This window comes from Homo sapiens, chromosome 8 (genome assembly GCF_000001405.40).
Source record: "Homo sapiens chromosome 8, GRCh38.p14 Primary Assembly".
Taxonomy (NCBI): Eukaryota; Metazoa; Chordata; class Mammalia; order Primates; family Hominidae; genus Homo; species Homo sapiens.
In genome coordinates, this window is record NC_000008.11 from 105,460,877 (window position 1) to 105,477,666 (window position 16,790).

Sequence of the window (16,790 nt, forward strand, 5' to 3'; positions counted from 1 at the left end):
AAATTTTGAAATAAATATGAGATTTTAAAAAGCACTCAACTACATATAATGCACTTTTTTGATATCTTTGACATATTGGTGTGGATAATAGAAAAAAATTTTGATTATCAAGAACAAGTAGACATTTTTTAAAAGCTTGAATTATTCATTTATAAAAAAATCATAATTACCATTATGTGGCAAAATTAATTTCTTATAAAATAGCTTTACGGCCTAGAAAATGGAAATAAATTATTTTAGGAACTCATATAGCTTAAGGCTACTATTTCATGTCAATAATTCATGATTAATATATAGTGGAATATTTTAGCACATTTTAAAATTAAAAGAGATTGTTAGTCAATTCAGCTCTCTGGATTTGACTCATTCTTTACTCTTAAAGTAAGCATGGTAAAATAAAAAAACTTGAAATGCCAGATATTCAAATACAGTAAAATGAAGATGGCATTATATTTAACCGTTATAAAAATGCATGAAATATTTCAACCATGATTTAAAATTACCTGAAATTAATAATTCTCCTGATTTCCTTTGGGCTTTTACTATTAAATCTGTAGGATTCAGGATATGTCATCCGGTTAGGCTCACTGATAGTCATTTTCAGAAATTCTAAATCATTCAAATAAAAGGGCCTAAAGGTAAACTTAATAAATCAGTGGTCCTAAAGCATTTATTTTTCAGAGTGTTATTCTTTTGAAATGATAAAACAACTATCTAGGATTAATGTTGAGGTTGTAAAATTCTACTTTTTGGAAATGCTTCCTCTTCTGTGATCTTTTTAGCATTCTCTTTTTCATTCCCATCTCTGGTATCTACTATGTATTAAGAGTTTACTGTGTGCCGGTTACTGTTATAGGCATGAGAGATATAAGAGCGAACAAATTCTCATTGATTTCCCCATAATAACTTTAGGGGTACTATTCTCATCTTGACCAATCAGGAAACTGAGGTATAGGAATGTTAAGGAACTTGCCTAAAATCACACAGCAGATAATCCTGGAATCAAAATTAAGCAGCCTGGTCTCCGGAGATTGTGTGTATGTCACCATTTCATTTATCTGTTTTTCATACAATGAGCTCTTCTTGATTGTCGCACTTATTATTTGCTACCATATTTTGAGATTCCCCTACCTAATTGGAGTTCTTTCTTCTTCCCTAAAATATAAGCAAGGAACAATATGATTTATTTTTCTTTAAACCTGTTTATTAAGTTTAATTTATGTTTTAATAAAATTTTGAGAATTGTTTCCTTTCCAATGCACAACATTTTGGTTTCTGTGTTTAACTCATCATGTATGTGTCTTCATCCTGGAAAGCACATAGTAATCTTAGTAACCTCCACCATTCATCAAGCACCCTGGCTCCAGTCACTGGTTCTCCAGGCTCCAGAGCACCTTGGCTCCAGTCCCAATATGCAATCCCTATTTTATAGCTAAGGATGTTAAGTCTTAGAACCCTTAAATGGTTTACCTGGTTTCATTGCTAACAGAGGAAAAATTCAGGCCTGACCTTACTGCTTCCCTCTGCAAAGCTTCCTGTGCGAAGAAGGCTGGACGAGGGAGAGACTAAGGTTACAAGTCAAATTCCAGGGAAGGAAGGTAAAGGTAATGGGAGACAGAATCTCAGATGAAAATTGCCTTCAAATTCTGCTGCTCCATTCCCCTGCTCAGTAAATTTGCACAAATTACTTAATATTTCTGCCTGTCAACTTTCTATCTCTACAATGGGAGTGCTATATATATGCTTCATAGGGCTTTATATTATATGAGTGAATTAATGAAAAGAGTGCCTGACACTAAGTGTTGTGTAAGCAATATAACCATGACATCATCATCAGCACCGTCATGATCCTTATTTTGTATACAGATTTTTTTTGTCTAAAATTTTGCTTCAACCTTGTGTCTTCTTCCCCATTATATTTCTTTAATTTCTGAATGGCCAAAGAAATAGCGAATCCGTTTGTATCTATGTTGTTCAAAAAATAAAAGTCGTTTATTCGATTCAACGTCCTTGATGAGAGTAAAATGATACTAGCTCAGTTCAAGTTGAAGTGCTAAAATATTTCAGATTGAAAAATATAATTTAGTCAGGTGCTCCTTATGCTCAGCTTCATTCTGCAGTGGATTTGAGATAAATAATAAAAAAAATATAAAATGGTGGAATAAATTATTAAAGCAGATAAAAGAAAACATAGATAGGAAAATGGCAGAGACAAGAATAATATAATTGCATGGGTAACTAAACCATAGAGTCCAAGATAGTTGCTTAAAATGGACTGAAAATATAATTTTAAGCTTCCTTGCAGCCAGTGTTTGCAAGTCTGCCTTTATATTCATTTTTTAATTGATCAACATTATAGGTAACTTTATATATGTATATAAACCATCTCTCTATATTTAAAACTATATATGTGTGTGTGTATATATATACACATATATACATATATAGAGTTTTTATAAGCTATATATGTGTGTGTATATATAGTTTATAAAAATACATTATATAGTTTTCTATAGTGTGTGTGTATGTGTGTGTGTATATATATAACTTTTGTGTTACATGCTCTTTGAAGGAAAGAAAGGATGATCACTTTTAATGATTGGTTATTAGCAGTATTACAGTAATAGCAATGCTGGATTAAAAACTTGCAATTGAAGAAGAGAAGCTCTGATTAACTCAGGACAACATGTTTATTCATTTATCTCTAAACAAACAAACTAGCAAATAAATAAATAGCTAACTGCAAAATCTCATGATTTTAGGGTTCTTCATGTGTGGGTGAAGTGAAAAGTGTCTTATTCATCCAGGTGGCCTTGGGTTGCTTCTTAATGAGAGAATGTGATGGAAATTTTCTATCTTCTAAGGCTGTTACATTTTTTTTTCCCAAAAAGGAAGATAATCTTATCTCTTCTACAGATGACTGCATATTTTATTGCCATCCTTTTCAAATTGAGAAATCTGCATTTACCTCTTAGCGTCTACACTTAAATGCTTGAAGAATCTAGCCCAACCAACATATTGTAAGTGAACTCTTGAATGAGCTGATAGCCATGAATTTTGTGAGGAATGCACATGCCAGAATTAGGAAAGTACAAAATCCCCGCCTCCCCGCTAGGCTGTCTTCTCTGTTCCCTTTGTTTCTTCTGAGGGCTTCGCAGTTTTGCAGAACAGCCTTCTTATCTCTCTTTCCTTTTCTCCTTGGGACTTGCCTTCCACAGACCTCTTCAGACATTCTTGCAGAATTGTTCCCATAAGATCTCTATTTTCAATTGGCTGTATACCTTCCAGTTTTATGGCCCATCCAGAACAGCTCAGTTCACTTTCTGAAGAAGAAATGAGAAAGTGCAAAATGTTACCAAATCTTTCCTCCTGTGTTTTCAAAAAACCACATTTGATGCTTTCTATTTTATATGCTTTTACAGAAATTCTCTTTAAAAATCAAATATATGCTTATCATTATTTTAATAAAAACCTCTGCTGAGTAAATGAATTTTATAGGATTGGGGGAAAAAGTTTGCAATGAATGGTGGATGATACTGCTATTCAATAGGGAGCTCTTAAAAATAGAGCAAATGCATAAGACATTTTTTACAGTTTTCAATTTGTAAGAAAATGATTTCATTAGAGGGGAAAAAAGAGAGAGAGAAAACCATCAGTCAGGATGTGGGAGAATGCAGGCTCCTGATGAGACCAGCGGAGAAGACAAACTAAGTGTATGGATGCAGATTAGGCCTCAGAAGATGAGGGTGTAAAAGGGATTTAATGGTGGGGTGGATTATAGAAATCCATGTAACAATGTTAAATAATTATAGTTCCAGCCGAGATCAAAGCAGTGCTGATTGAACGCCCTCAAGCTGTTAACATGAAGTATCTTGAAGGGAAAAAAACCTGCCTCAAAGATTGGTCAGTCTGGGCAAACAATGTCTGTGATCTGTAGAAGTTCCAACTGTATTGAAAGCACCAATTCTAGGGAATGAAAAATGGAGGAGGCAGCCTGTTAGGGAATTTCTTCTTCTGGAGCTCTCGATCTTAAAACGGACTTTTTAGCTATTTGTAGTTTGTTTGAAAATGCTAAAAAAAAAAAAAAAAGTCTAACCTTTCTTTTGGAGGGTATAGAAAAGATATTCACTCAGCCTGTATCGTAGTTGTCAGTGGGAAATTCTATAATTGATTTTTATTATTCTTGATTTTGCCCTTTGAGGAAAATTTCACTTTCACTGAGTATACCAGAGTGATAATGACTGTAGGTAAGGAAAACTGGAAAAAAAAAATTGTGGAAGATACATTTATCTGCAGAAGGAGCAAAAAATATCTTGAATATAAAGGAAAAACATGAGAATACATTCATGTCTGTGGGCTTGTTTGATTTTGTAATGCCTCTAAGACATTAAAAAATACAGAATTATAAAACAATTGAAATTAGTTCTAAAATGAGACAGCCATTTAAATTAACCCCAACCACAAGTGTTTTGGACAAATTGAATATAGAACCATATTGATATCTACATCTGTAACTGTCTATATATATGATAAAGGACAGAAGGTTGCATAATTTTTACAGTTTATACAAGCATCTTTTATTTAGTATAAAAATGAAATTGTTTATTATTTTATATCACACAAAAAACGCAAAGCCAACAAATACTAAGATTAGATTTATAGAAATTATACTTGTAGACTTTATATTATTCATTAAAAAATATAGTTGATATATATAGTTGAGCTACATAGTAACATAATGATTTAAATTATAAAACTGAAAAGCCAACTATTTGCAATATTTTTATGATATTCCTGATATTGTGGCTGGAATTTTACTTGGAGAGAATTAAAGCTGCTATTTCAGTAAGGTGCCTGGTATTTCTTATACAATGGTAGTTTTAAGATTTAAGATGTATGGGATTAGCTAGCCACTTCATCTGAATTTTAAAAACCTTTATTTTAGGAGACGAACTATTGATCCAAATATTTTATAATAAATACACATTTCTTAAGCAGTTGATGACAACTTGTTAAGGGAAAATTTGGATAGACAAAATTTGAATTTTTGTATTAGAATGAATTTAACAAAATTTTTCTTAATTCAAATGCATTTGCCTAAACATTCAAGTGAGAGCATTTTAAAAGTGAAGATTTTCTGCTGTATGTCTCTTTCTGTTGTAGGAAATAGCTGATATTAAAGACAATGCCTCATTAAATCTTGTGATGAGTGGTTTAACTTCGTGGCTTTTCTTAGGTAAAGGTTTTATGACATTGCATTTAATTTTTAATATTTTAATATGAATGCATTTCCTTTGCCAAACTAATTTTTATTTTTATAGGGGGATGGATGTGTTAGCTGTTAACATCTTTTCTCATCCTTGGAAAACATCATTTCTCATCTGTAAAACATTTCAAAATCATATTTATGTGGTACTGGAAAAAATGCTAAGAAATTATAGGATTAAACTATTTTAATGCACATGTGTTGAATATTTTTAAAACAGTTTAAAACAACAAAACTTACTATAAATTAATTTCTGTAAGCTACCAGCTAATTATTAGTCAATTTTAAAGTTTCTCACATTTTAAAATTTGGGATGTTAGTGATATTCTAAAGCTGGTCTTATGTATTTAGCAACTGAATAATTTGGTTATTTTCACCTTATTGTGCCTTTTAATTTACATGTTCACAAAACATACTTTTCGTTGTTATTCCCATAGGTCCTTCTATACCACAGAGGTTTAACAATACAGAGGGGGTACATTAACTGCCAAGTCGCCTGTCCAGAAATGTTAATTTAGGTTGAAAGTTTAATTGTTTTGTTTGTTTGTTTAAAGTAATATGATTCTACCCCATGTAGCAGTACATACTTGAGAGTAAATACCAGGTGAAATGATTTTCTAAAATTGCCTTACATTTTTTTTTTTAATTTTGAGGAAGTTTTTTGTTCAAGGATACAGGCATCTCATGGCTATTGATGAGTTCAGGACCAAACAAAAATTCTGATATTATAATAGGGTGGAAAAAGCCTAAAATTTCTATTCAGATAAAACTAGTTTCAAGTCCTGTTTCAACATTTGATTACTTATGAGCTGAGTAACTGTGGGCATTTTGCCTAATCGCCCTAAGTTTCAGTTTCCTCATGGAAATGATGCCTACCTCCTGTATCTCTTGTGAGCATTAAACAAGGTCAAGAGAAACATCGTATGTATTTCTTCCCAGCCAGGCTGCAAGAATGGGTAGATGGAGGATTCTTGTGAGAACTGCCCCTCACCTCTTAACATTGAAGACAGATGATGATGAAGTTTGTGTCAGAACTCTGACCTTGAGCCCCACAATTCCTAAATATATTTATTCTAATACAACTTATTTTTACTAAAGTGAAATTTAGGAATATTAAAATGAGAGTGATTTTGTCCAAGTACTTTATGTCTCTGATCCTCAGCTTTCCCACAAGCAAATGAGGATGATAATATCTACTACTGTGCTTAAAGTAGGTCTTAAATAAAAGGACACACAAGATACTTATACCCAGCACATAGAGGTGCTCAGTTATTGCTTTTGTTATCCTAGTCACGACTACTGGAAATAACTGGCTTTTTAAAAATGTTAAGCCCAGCGAGTTAGGAATCTTTACTGAGTTGCTTATATAAAGCAGGAATTCTGCTAGGCCCTGAGATACAGTGGTCAGTAGGACAGGTGTGATCTCTGACCTCAGAGAGCCTGCACTTTACTATGAAATGCTGTTTAAAATTCAGGTAGTTACCATGTCACCATTAAATATATTAAAGCACTTTTAAACAGTGGTTATTTTAATGAATATAAAAGTAGTAGGCTGAGTCTTTGAAGAAAATAAAAAGTGATTAGATACACATACACATACACACACACATGTATATATATACAACATAATAAAAAAGAGTGTTCCTATGCATGAAAATATGCTACCCCTAGTCTCCAGTCTCCAAGTCTCTTTACTCTGGCCATAATTAAAATCTGTATGCATAAAAAAGACAGTGATTTGGGGTTCATTGGAAGGGTAAGGATGATTTGGCAAAAATCTGCTCACCCTCAAGAGTTTCAAACTTTTCTGACTTTATTACTACTCTAAAATAATCTAAAGAGAGAACCCCTCATTTTCTCAACACCATTCTGTCTCCACTATCACTCATGTCCCCTATCTCATTGTTCTTAGTTGGCCTCTCTTATCACTTCTCATAGCTCCCATTTTATCATCTTTGTTAAACAAACCATCCTTACTTCTTCGGTGTCCAGGCCTCCTAGATATACCGTTCTCTTTAGCATTCAACCAAGAACATTTTTCTCCATTGTCACTTGCTAATCTTGTGTCTCCCTCAGGACTCTTCCCAGGGGTACTTGACACTTGCCTGCCATTTTCTCTCTTTGCTCTTAGAGTTCCTCCTTCTCTGCTCCCAAATTGCACTTGTGGCCATTACCCCTGTAACCTCATGGCCACTTCTGATCAGGGAACAATGTCCTCCTTCATATGTATCAACCCTCTTTTACAACCACGCTTTATCCCTCTCCATCACTCAGAATCATTACATACCTAGACACTCCCTTCTCTATGTATAACTGGCTGTGTGTTACTTTGCAACCTCAATGAGGACTCTACGCAGCTCCTGGCTTCATTTTCAGTAGTACTCAATCTCAGCTCCATAACCTCCCATTTCAACATTACTCCTGTTAGCACCTTCCATGGCCTTGACCTCTGTGTGATCTGGCTTATCGTTGCTTTACTGTGAGATGGGGAGTAGATAGTCTTTATGCCCTATACCTAAATCACCAGGAAAAATAATAGCTTAAATGTATTAAGTGAGCATTTATTATGCATATGCGGCACTGTGCCAGACACTAAGCAGAATCTCAGGCAATCCTCTCAACAATCTAAGGCCCTGAGAAAATCATACTCCTTTTTGTTGGCATTGTTGCAAATTTAAGTTATTACTAGTTATTGTATTTATTCCCCAATAACCTTGTATAGAAATCTCCACAATAGTTGTTCTAAAACTCTCCAGTCTTTGAATCATTAATCCTCTTTCCTCTCTGCTTTATTTTTAACTACTCTGCTGAATACAAAGCAGTTTTTTTTTTTTTATGTGAGTGATTCTTTCTTGAAGACCTTTCTAAATTCAAATTCTCACTTGTCCCATAGGGGGAAAAGTGATGGGGCAGCCCAGAGAGCTCTTCAGAGCACACAAATCTAGAAACATTGTAGCTTAGAGGTATTGTAACCACTTTGATCATGGAGCCATGTCACCAGAATTTTTTCCTATTATCTTTGCCCACTTATATAATAAGTTTTGCCAACTTCAAGGTGAATCTGCTTTAATGTTGCTTTTAATTTTCTCAGTATGATCTCCAATATTTCAGAGTGCTCACTCTTAAGTTAATTGCTGCTTGTGATTAAAAGAAGATGGCTTCACTATTATGTGAGAATTTCCTGTAATGATCTCTTCTGTTTTACATCTCTTTACTCTCTCTTATTTTTCCCCTTTCTATCTCTCAATCTCCTACTCCTTTTTATGACTGCGTCTTCCATTTTTCTTCTTTCTTTAGTTTCTACCTAGCCAGTTTCTTCTCTACCTGCCCATTGCTCTCCAGCTGGTGTACTCATTCATGCATGCATGCATTCACACAATATTTCTTGAGCACTGACAGTGTGGAGGGCCAGACTGACTAGCCTCAAATACTGGTTTCGTCACCTTCTAGCTCTGAGACTTTGAGCAAGTCCCTTAATCTTTATGTGCCTCAGTTTCCTTATCAGTAAAACAAGAATAATAGTAATTCTATCAGTATTAAATGCTAAAGTGTGTTGTGAGTTTACCACATTCCAGTAAGTTTTAAAAATTTTACCTGTGTTAACTCATTTAGTCTCATAGAACACTATGATGGGATTCTGTTATTAAGCCCATGTTTTGTGCATGGGTTATATATTTTCATAATTTGCCCAATATCACAAAGCCACATAGCTCATCAGAGGGTTGAATGAACTCGTTCATATAAAGGGCATAACAAAGTGCCTGGCACAGAGTAAATGCTCAAAAACTTTTAGCTAACATAATTATTATTGTCATTATAAATATTCCCATTTTACTACCCAATAAGTACTTAAAATATTAGCCATTGTTATGATAATGACATGTAAGGCAGCATGCTACCTGCCATGAGTGTAAAAGCTATGTCAAATACTGTGACTATTTTCAAAAAACAATATATTAAAGAACTTTCAAAAATAACTTGTTTTCTCTTCCTCTCTACTCTTCCTTTCTCTGCCTCTTCCCCCTCTACCTCCTCTTTTTCTTCTTCCTTCTTCTTTTAAATTTATTTTTTGAGAGAGATGGATAGCACAGGGCTTAATAACAGAGTCAGGAGCCGGGACACCGAACTTATTTCACATCTTGACTCCTGCTGTTTAGCTAGGTGACCTTTGAAAAGTAAGCTAATTTTGTTGTGCCTCAGTATTTTCATCAACAAAATGGACCAAAACTATGTCTACCTTATAGGGTTACTAGGAATATGAGATATCTTCATACTTGTGAATCACAGAGGATGGTACCTGGGGATGGTAAACAACATGGAAGTGGTAGCTTGTGTCTCTGTGTTTACTTAACTACAAATAATAAATGTAAAGAGTTTTTATTGTGCACTTTGGGAGGCTTAGGTGGGCAGATCACCTGAGAGGTCAGGAGTTTGAGATCAGCCTGGACAAAATGGCGAAACCTTGTCTCTATTTAAAATACAAAACTTATCCAGGAGTGGTGGCACATGCCTGTAGTCCCAGGTATTTGGAAGGCTGAGGCAAGAGGATAATTTGAATGCAGGAGGTGGAGGTTGCAGTGAGCCAAGATTGTGCCACTGCACTCCAGCCTAGGTGAAAGAGCAAGACTTCATCTAAAAAAAAAATAGAAAGAGAAGGTTTTTATTGTATCTTTCATTGATGATATTAGTTATTTATGTTCCCTATTCTTAATTTTAAATTTTTAGATATTTTACATTGTTTCCTCTTAAAAATTACTAAATTCAAAATTATTTTAAATTTCTCATTACTATTAATATTTCATATAAAATAATGGCTGACATTTCAAAAAAAATGTTCATTACTCCTACTCCATGAGGTATGGCTCTTGTTTGATTGCTTATTACATATTGAAAATCTTTTTTCTGCAGGTCTCATTAGAAATAGTTTCTGACTATTCCTTTAACTTTTCTCACTCTGACAGCTTCGTTTGGTTCATGATTCTTACACTGCGTTAGGGATGTTCTCTTGTTTGGCTGTTTCCATCTCTGAATTTTCTTGGCAAACTATGTATACGTTCAGTCTCAGCTTCAGGACGGAGTTGGACAGTGATGATTTTTCTGTATACATGACTAGTATACATTTATTGAGTGCTTACTAGATTTGGGGCCACAAAGATGACAAAATATGCCATTTGTAGCTTATGTTGCTCACTGGGTGGAAGAGAGGCAGAAACATACCTCATTTGAATTTGTCATGGTTGACACTATTTCAGGAGTCTAATCAAAATCCCATGGAACACCAAGAAGTTAATCTTTTTTCATTCTGAAGTGGTACCACTTTATCACTTTAAGATTGGGCAAAAACTTTTTGGACGAGGATGGGATAGCTTACTCAGCTAATTTATTGGCAGGATTAACCTGGTGTCAAGTCTGATCATCAGAATGTAGATTGTGGCTGGCCAAGCACTAATATGTTTCTCTCAAAGATTCAGCTCAGAACATTGGGGTTTGAGGGTGGTGAGTTGGAGGAGGTTGATGGTACGCAAGCGGAACCTTTTACATCCTCTCCAAATCCAAATAGAAACTTGCTTGTTGAGAATGTCTTTTTAAGTTCTCTACTGATATCAGCTATTCTCCATTTATTGCTAAGAATTTCAGTTCTTATTAGAGCATAAGGTCTGCTTAATTATAACTCTATCAGAACACTATCAGAACTCTTATCAGATAAGGAGACCTGCATGGTCTCCTTATCATAAAAAGAATTTAGATTAAGCTGCCAGGGTTTGACCTTCTCACAGAATCATTTGGATTATTACCCAAGACCCCAATTTTCTAGCCCAGTGTTTCAAAAAATGTGGTCGGTGGATTACTTGAGCACCATCCCAGATAAACAGAATCATAAAATGCATAAAATTTTATGCATGATGATCTCTGAGAACCTGTATAGACACCTGCAGAATAAACTGGAGGCCACTGAGCTTTAGTTGTCTTACACTTTAGTTGGCAAAGCTTATGATAAAAAAGTAGATCTTAGTCAGTACACCAATATGCTTTCAAAGAATCAAACTAATAATTAGTACATAGTTTTAAGAATAAGCAGAGTTATCCCTCTCATTATTTCCATGGTACTACCAAGTTAAAACATTAAAGCTACTGGGGAATCTAAAGTAACTACATTATGAATTCACTGCTTCATCCAAGTAAGTATCCCTGATGGTTTACTTAGAAAACATTTTATTTTTCACCAACATCACAGAAGGCATGTTATTGAATCATTAGTTCTGATAAGTAACACAACTTAGTCTCTACAACTGGAGAACAATTTAAATATGAAAAGATCACTGACCTCTGACTTCTGAACACTCCTTGTGTTTTGTTTTGTTTTGTTTTGTGTTTTTTGAGACGGAGTCTCACTCTGTCGCCCAGGCTGGAGTGCAGTGGCGTGAACTCGGCTCACTGCAAGCTCTGCCTCCCGGGTTCACACCATTCTCCTGCCTCAGCCTCCCGAGTATCTGGGACTACAGGCGCCCACCATCGCACCCGGCTAATTTTTTTTTTTGTATTTTTTATTAGAGACGGGGTTTCACCTTATTGGCCAGGATGGTCTCGATCTCCTGACCTCATGATCCACCCGCCTCGGCCTCTCAAAATGCTGGGATTACAGGCGTGAGCCACCGCGCCTGGCCTCACTCCTTGTGTTTTGTATTTATTATCCCTTTGATTTCATTCACCTGGAATATGTCTTTCCCCTCTTCTCCTAAAGGGACCTTTTTTTTTTTTTTTTTTTTTAAAGAAACGAGGTCTTACTCTATCCCTCAGGATGGAATACAGTGGCTAGATCATAGCTCACTACAGCCTGGAACCCTGGGCTAATGTGATCTTCCCTCCTCAGTCTTCTGAGTGGCTAGGACTACAGGCACACACCACCATGCCTAGATGATTTTTTATTTTTTTATTTTTTGTAGAGATGGGGCATCAATATGTTGCTTAGGCTGGTCTTGAACTCCTGGCCTTAAGTGATCCTCCTGCCTTGCTTCCCAGTGTGCTGGGATTACAGGCATAGACTGAGATCATAGGCCTGAACCACTGTGCCTGGTCTATTGCATCTTTTAGGATCCAACTCAGGATCTTCTATGATCTTTCTCTCTTTTGTGGGGACCTCATGCCAACAGTAGTTTATACAATTCATTTAGTAAGTAATAAGATGCTACTTTGTGTAATCAAATGCCATTTTGTGACATTGTTTCTCTCACATTGTAAATTAATGTTTATAATCTTATTTTAAACATTTTTCATGTTTATACCATCTCTCCCTGACTAGCTGACTACCTCTTTATTTACATAGTAATGCCCACTGCAGTGCCTCAAAAACAGTAGTTGCTCAGTAAATATTTAGTGATTCGAGATCTATTCAATTCTGGTGGGTTAAGAGAGGAAAGAAAAGAATCAGCTATGCCACAGAAGAGTTGAGGAGAGCTCAAGACAGAGTTTAAAAGCCATTGAGTTAAGATTCCTATTTTAACAATCTTTTATATCCTGAGGAAACACCCACAGAGTAATAGAATTAAAGAAATGCATTTCTCTCCCACTTCCAAAGCCTTCAGAAATATAGGCACTTAGACTTAGAAAAAAGTACTTTGTATTAATACATCTGTTATCTATGCATACATATGCAAATGTGTGTTAATATGTGAGTGTGTATATATAAATATAGGTATATACACAAATATACAAATAATATATAGCACACATACATACACATGTGCAAACACACTAGTTTTCAATAGTGGGGAGAGAATATCATTGACTCTATGGTTTAGTTTTGCAGCTTAGATTGGAAAAGTTCCAAAGCACTTACAGGGCTCTGCTGCCTTAAACAGGCTACCCTGCCATATGGCAGTTTTACTACTGTGGTGGTTTAGTTGTAATTGATTTATATTAGATTATGATGATATACTTGATAGTCCATTAACAAAGTGACTAAGCGAGGTTCTTGACTACTGGATGTGCTCCCGAATAAAATCTAAGATTTTTGTTTTTAGTTTTCTGTTTCAGTCTTTGTTTCTGTCTCTCTTCGCTCTGTTTTTATATCTGAAACTCCCATGCCAGGGGAAAATGTACAATGGGAATGTATTATGAGTCACTTTGTTTTAAGGTTGATAAAAAGTTATTACGTTAGTCTTCAATTTTCAATCCAGCTACAACTATCTACAATTTTCAATCCAGCTACAACTAGCTCTTATTTACCCATGTTGACAGTGATGGGGAAGAGTGAATCCACTGTGATTTAAATAACTTAATTTCACCAACAGTTTAGAACATTATCAACATTTTTAACTAAGTTGCTAGTGAGAAGCAAACATCAAAAGATTTGTGATTTCCCTCCTTTTTGCTTTTCCTGTCTTTTCATAAGGTAATTGGTAAGTTAAAAAAAAATAAGAAGCAAGTTATCTTAAAAACTATAACCCTTTAAATATAAAAAAGAATGAGAATTCTATGGAAAATTTATATCATTTATCTTCTTATAATCTGATTTTATAGTCAATCATTAGCTATCATTCATTAGCTAATGTGCACTTACATAGTAATTTGCAAACCTAATAGGTGAATGTTTAAAATCAAAGCCGTTAAAACCATCCTATGATTAGGTGAGTGTAGAAGTGATTGTGTGGAGACTGTGGCTTTAAAAATATCCATCATAGATGAATTCTCCTTTTCTCAAGTCAAGCATAACAAACATCTTTAGCTTCTTCTTTGCCACAGCTTCCCAGGCCTATCTCCCTCTGGGAAACCCACTTTCTGAGCCTTAGGGCTTCTCCAAAGCACCTTATTCTGTGATTCAGTAGTCTGTATCAGTTCAGTCAAAATGAAAGAACATCCATATAAGCAAATAAAATGTGGATTTAATACAAAGTTCCTGATTTATGGAAAAACATTGGCTAAAAGTACTTCATTTCTTTTACTGCTGCAATAAAGAGAGTTTACAGTTGGTAACATATAACTTAGAGGAGTGACAAATTTGGTACTTAAAAAATATTTAGGTTAAAAACAACCCTGTCACTTCTACTAAGTCATTTTTAGAGCGTAATCATTTTAATTCTTCTCCCTCTAATTTTATAACCACAAGACAACCTTTCCAAGGAAAATCCCTAACCTCTTGTAAAGATCCTCTCTGCTTCTCATTGTTATGACATCTCAACCAACGATTCATTTGAAGTTACGTTTGACCTAGAAATTAGGAAACACTTCGGTGCTCCCTCTTGGTACCCCGTGCACATAAATAAATATCATCAATCCTAAACAGCTTGAATGTACAAGTTTAACATAAAACCTTTGATTGTTGGCAGAGATCAAGTGTTTGAACTGTGTAGTGCTTGTGATTTGCTGAGGAAATGTTAAGTGTCCAGTCACAATGCTACAGCCAAAGAAAATTTGCAAATGCCAAAAGATTTAAGCGGAGGAAGCAACTGGCCTGGATTTTAGATAAATTTGGATATGCATGGTTACAAATTTCAATGTGAATTAGAAAAGCGTTTTTAACATCATCTCTGGAAGTCTTTAGGGAATGGTTTTTTCATGTGAATAAGCAGTGAAAACAAAATTCGTCAGCTGTTGTTAATTTTTAACAGCAGAAATTTTACCCATTAACTTATTGATATAGAGAAATGTTTCTTATCTTGCAAGGCAACTTCTAATTTTCACCTCTGATTTTGGGATTCATTTCAAAAAAATCAGGAGTTTCCAAAAATGAGTCATGAGGAGACAAATTAAGAAAGTGGTGCTCAAAATGAGATGTACATCATAAATATGTATGCAACTTTATAAAACAACAGATAGCCAGAGCTGTAGAGTCAGAATTTTACGGACTAGCATTGGTGATCTTGATATTTTTTTGAAACCTCTATGAGACATTTTGATGTGCATCTAAAAGTCACATTAAAAGCATTTGTCATAATATTTATCCTGAATAATGCCACGAACTACTATTTGGTAGTGCAAATATGACTTTCAGTTGCTCTTAAAAGGGTTTTCCTCAGAGCCATTTGATGACCTCCCCATTACTCTCCCGTAGTCCACTGGAACAGGGGTCCCCAACCCCTAGGCCCCAGACAGGTACAGGCCCATGGCCTGTTAGGAGCCGGGCTGCACAGCAGGTGAGTGGCGGGCGAGTGAGCATTACTGTCTGAGCTCTGCCTCCTGTCAGATCAGCGACAGCATTAGATTCTCATGGGAGCCTGAATCCTATTGTGAACTAAGGAATCTAGGTTGCACGCTCCTTATGATAATCTAACTAATGCCTGATGATCTAAGGTGGAATAGTTTCATCCCGGAACCATCCCCACCCCTCCCCAGGTCCATGGAAAAACATGCACGAAACCAGCACGAAATTTGCCAAAAAGGTTGGGGACCCCTGCTCTAGAGGCTGTCTTCTGTCATAGCACTTTTCATCCTTGAGGTTAGTGTCATACGCAATTTTCAATCTTCTCTTAATTGAATGGAAGTGATGTGGGATGAGAACCTTGTCTATCTTGCTTACTGTATTATTACTAGTGATTTGCATAGTATAGGGCCCATAATGGCCAATTAATATTTATTGAATAAATATAGAACTTAACCTATTGTTTTTTTTGCATTTAAAAATATCCTCTTTTAAAATTAGCATCTCAAATAGCAATTTGGATGGAGAGTGGGGTGGGTGATTGGGGGTACTAGGGATGGTGTTGGGGGTGGGGGTAGTCAATGCCAGCACTACAGCTTTCAAGCCTGAGTCCCCATCCTAGCACAAGGCTTTTTCGTATTCAATCCTGAAGTATTCCAAAAGTCAGTCAGGAGATAGAGATTGCAAATACTCACAAACTGGATGTTTGGTGTTTCATCTTTATTTGTTGTCACAGCTATGCCGGTGTACTGTTCACATGAAGAAAAGGAAATGTTTATAGTAATAAAAACATAACTTAGTAACATAGTATTAAGATGTTCTTTGACAAGATGTATATTCAACTGATAGTGGATTTTTGGTACAATTTTCAAGAATTTTGGAAATTGGTTGACTTGTGCTTAATACTGAACAACAATGAAATAATTTCAGTTAAGTGATTTCTTTCTGCTAGCAATCTTTTTTTTTTTTTTTTTTTTTTTTTGAGACGAAGTCTAACTCTATCACCTAGGCCAGAGTGCAGTGGTGCGATCTCAGCTCACTGCAGCCTCCACCTCCTGGGTTCAAGAGATTCTCCTGCTTCAGCCTCCTGAGTAGCTGGGATTACAGGTGCCTGCCACCATGCCTGGCTAATTTTTGTATTTTTAGTAAAGACAGGGTTTCACCATGTTGGTCAGGCTGATCTCAAACTCCTGACCTCGTGATCCACCCACCTCAGCCTCCCAAAGTGCTGGGATTACAGGTGTGAGCCACCGCGCCCCACATGATATCAATCATATGGGCAGGTATTTTAAAGCTATCCACCATAAGATTTACCAAATTAAATATTAATAGTAGTTTGTAAGTGGAAAAAAATAAAATCCTTTTATAGAATAATACCTAATGATT

At 35.4% G+C, this 16,790-nt stretch overlaps 1 protein-coding gene across 9 annotated transcripts in view; it reads left to right on the forward strand.

Annotated features, from left to right (window-relative positions):
• The window catches only part of ZFPM2 (zinc finger protein, FOG family member 2), a 486,102-nt gene that overhangs the window by 142,439 nt on the left and 326,873 nt on the right, over window positions 1-16,790 (forward strand). Inside the window, exon 2 of one of the 9 annotated variants that reach the window (XM_047421633.1) lies at window positions 15,599-15,701. The exons of the other annotated variants lie outside the window; for them this stretch is intronic. The gene's annotated coding sequence lies outside the window, so the exon portion shown is untranslated. The remainder of the gene's footprint in view (window positions 1-15,598; window positions 15,702-16,790) is intronic. 9 annotated transcript variants of the gene reach the window in all.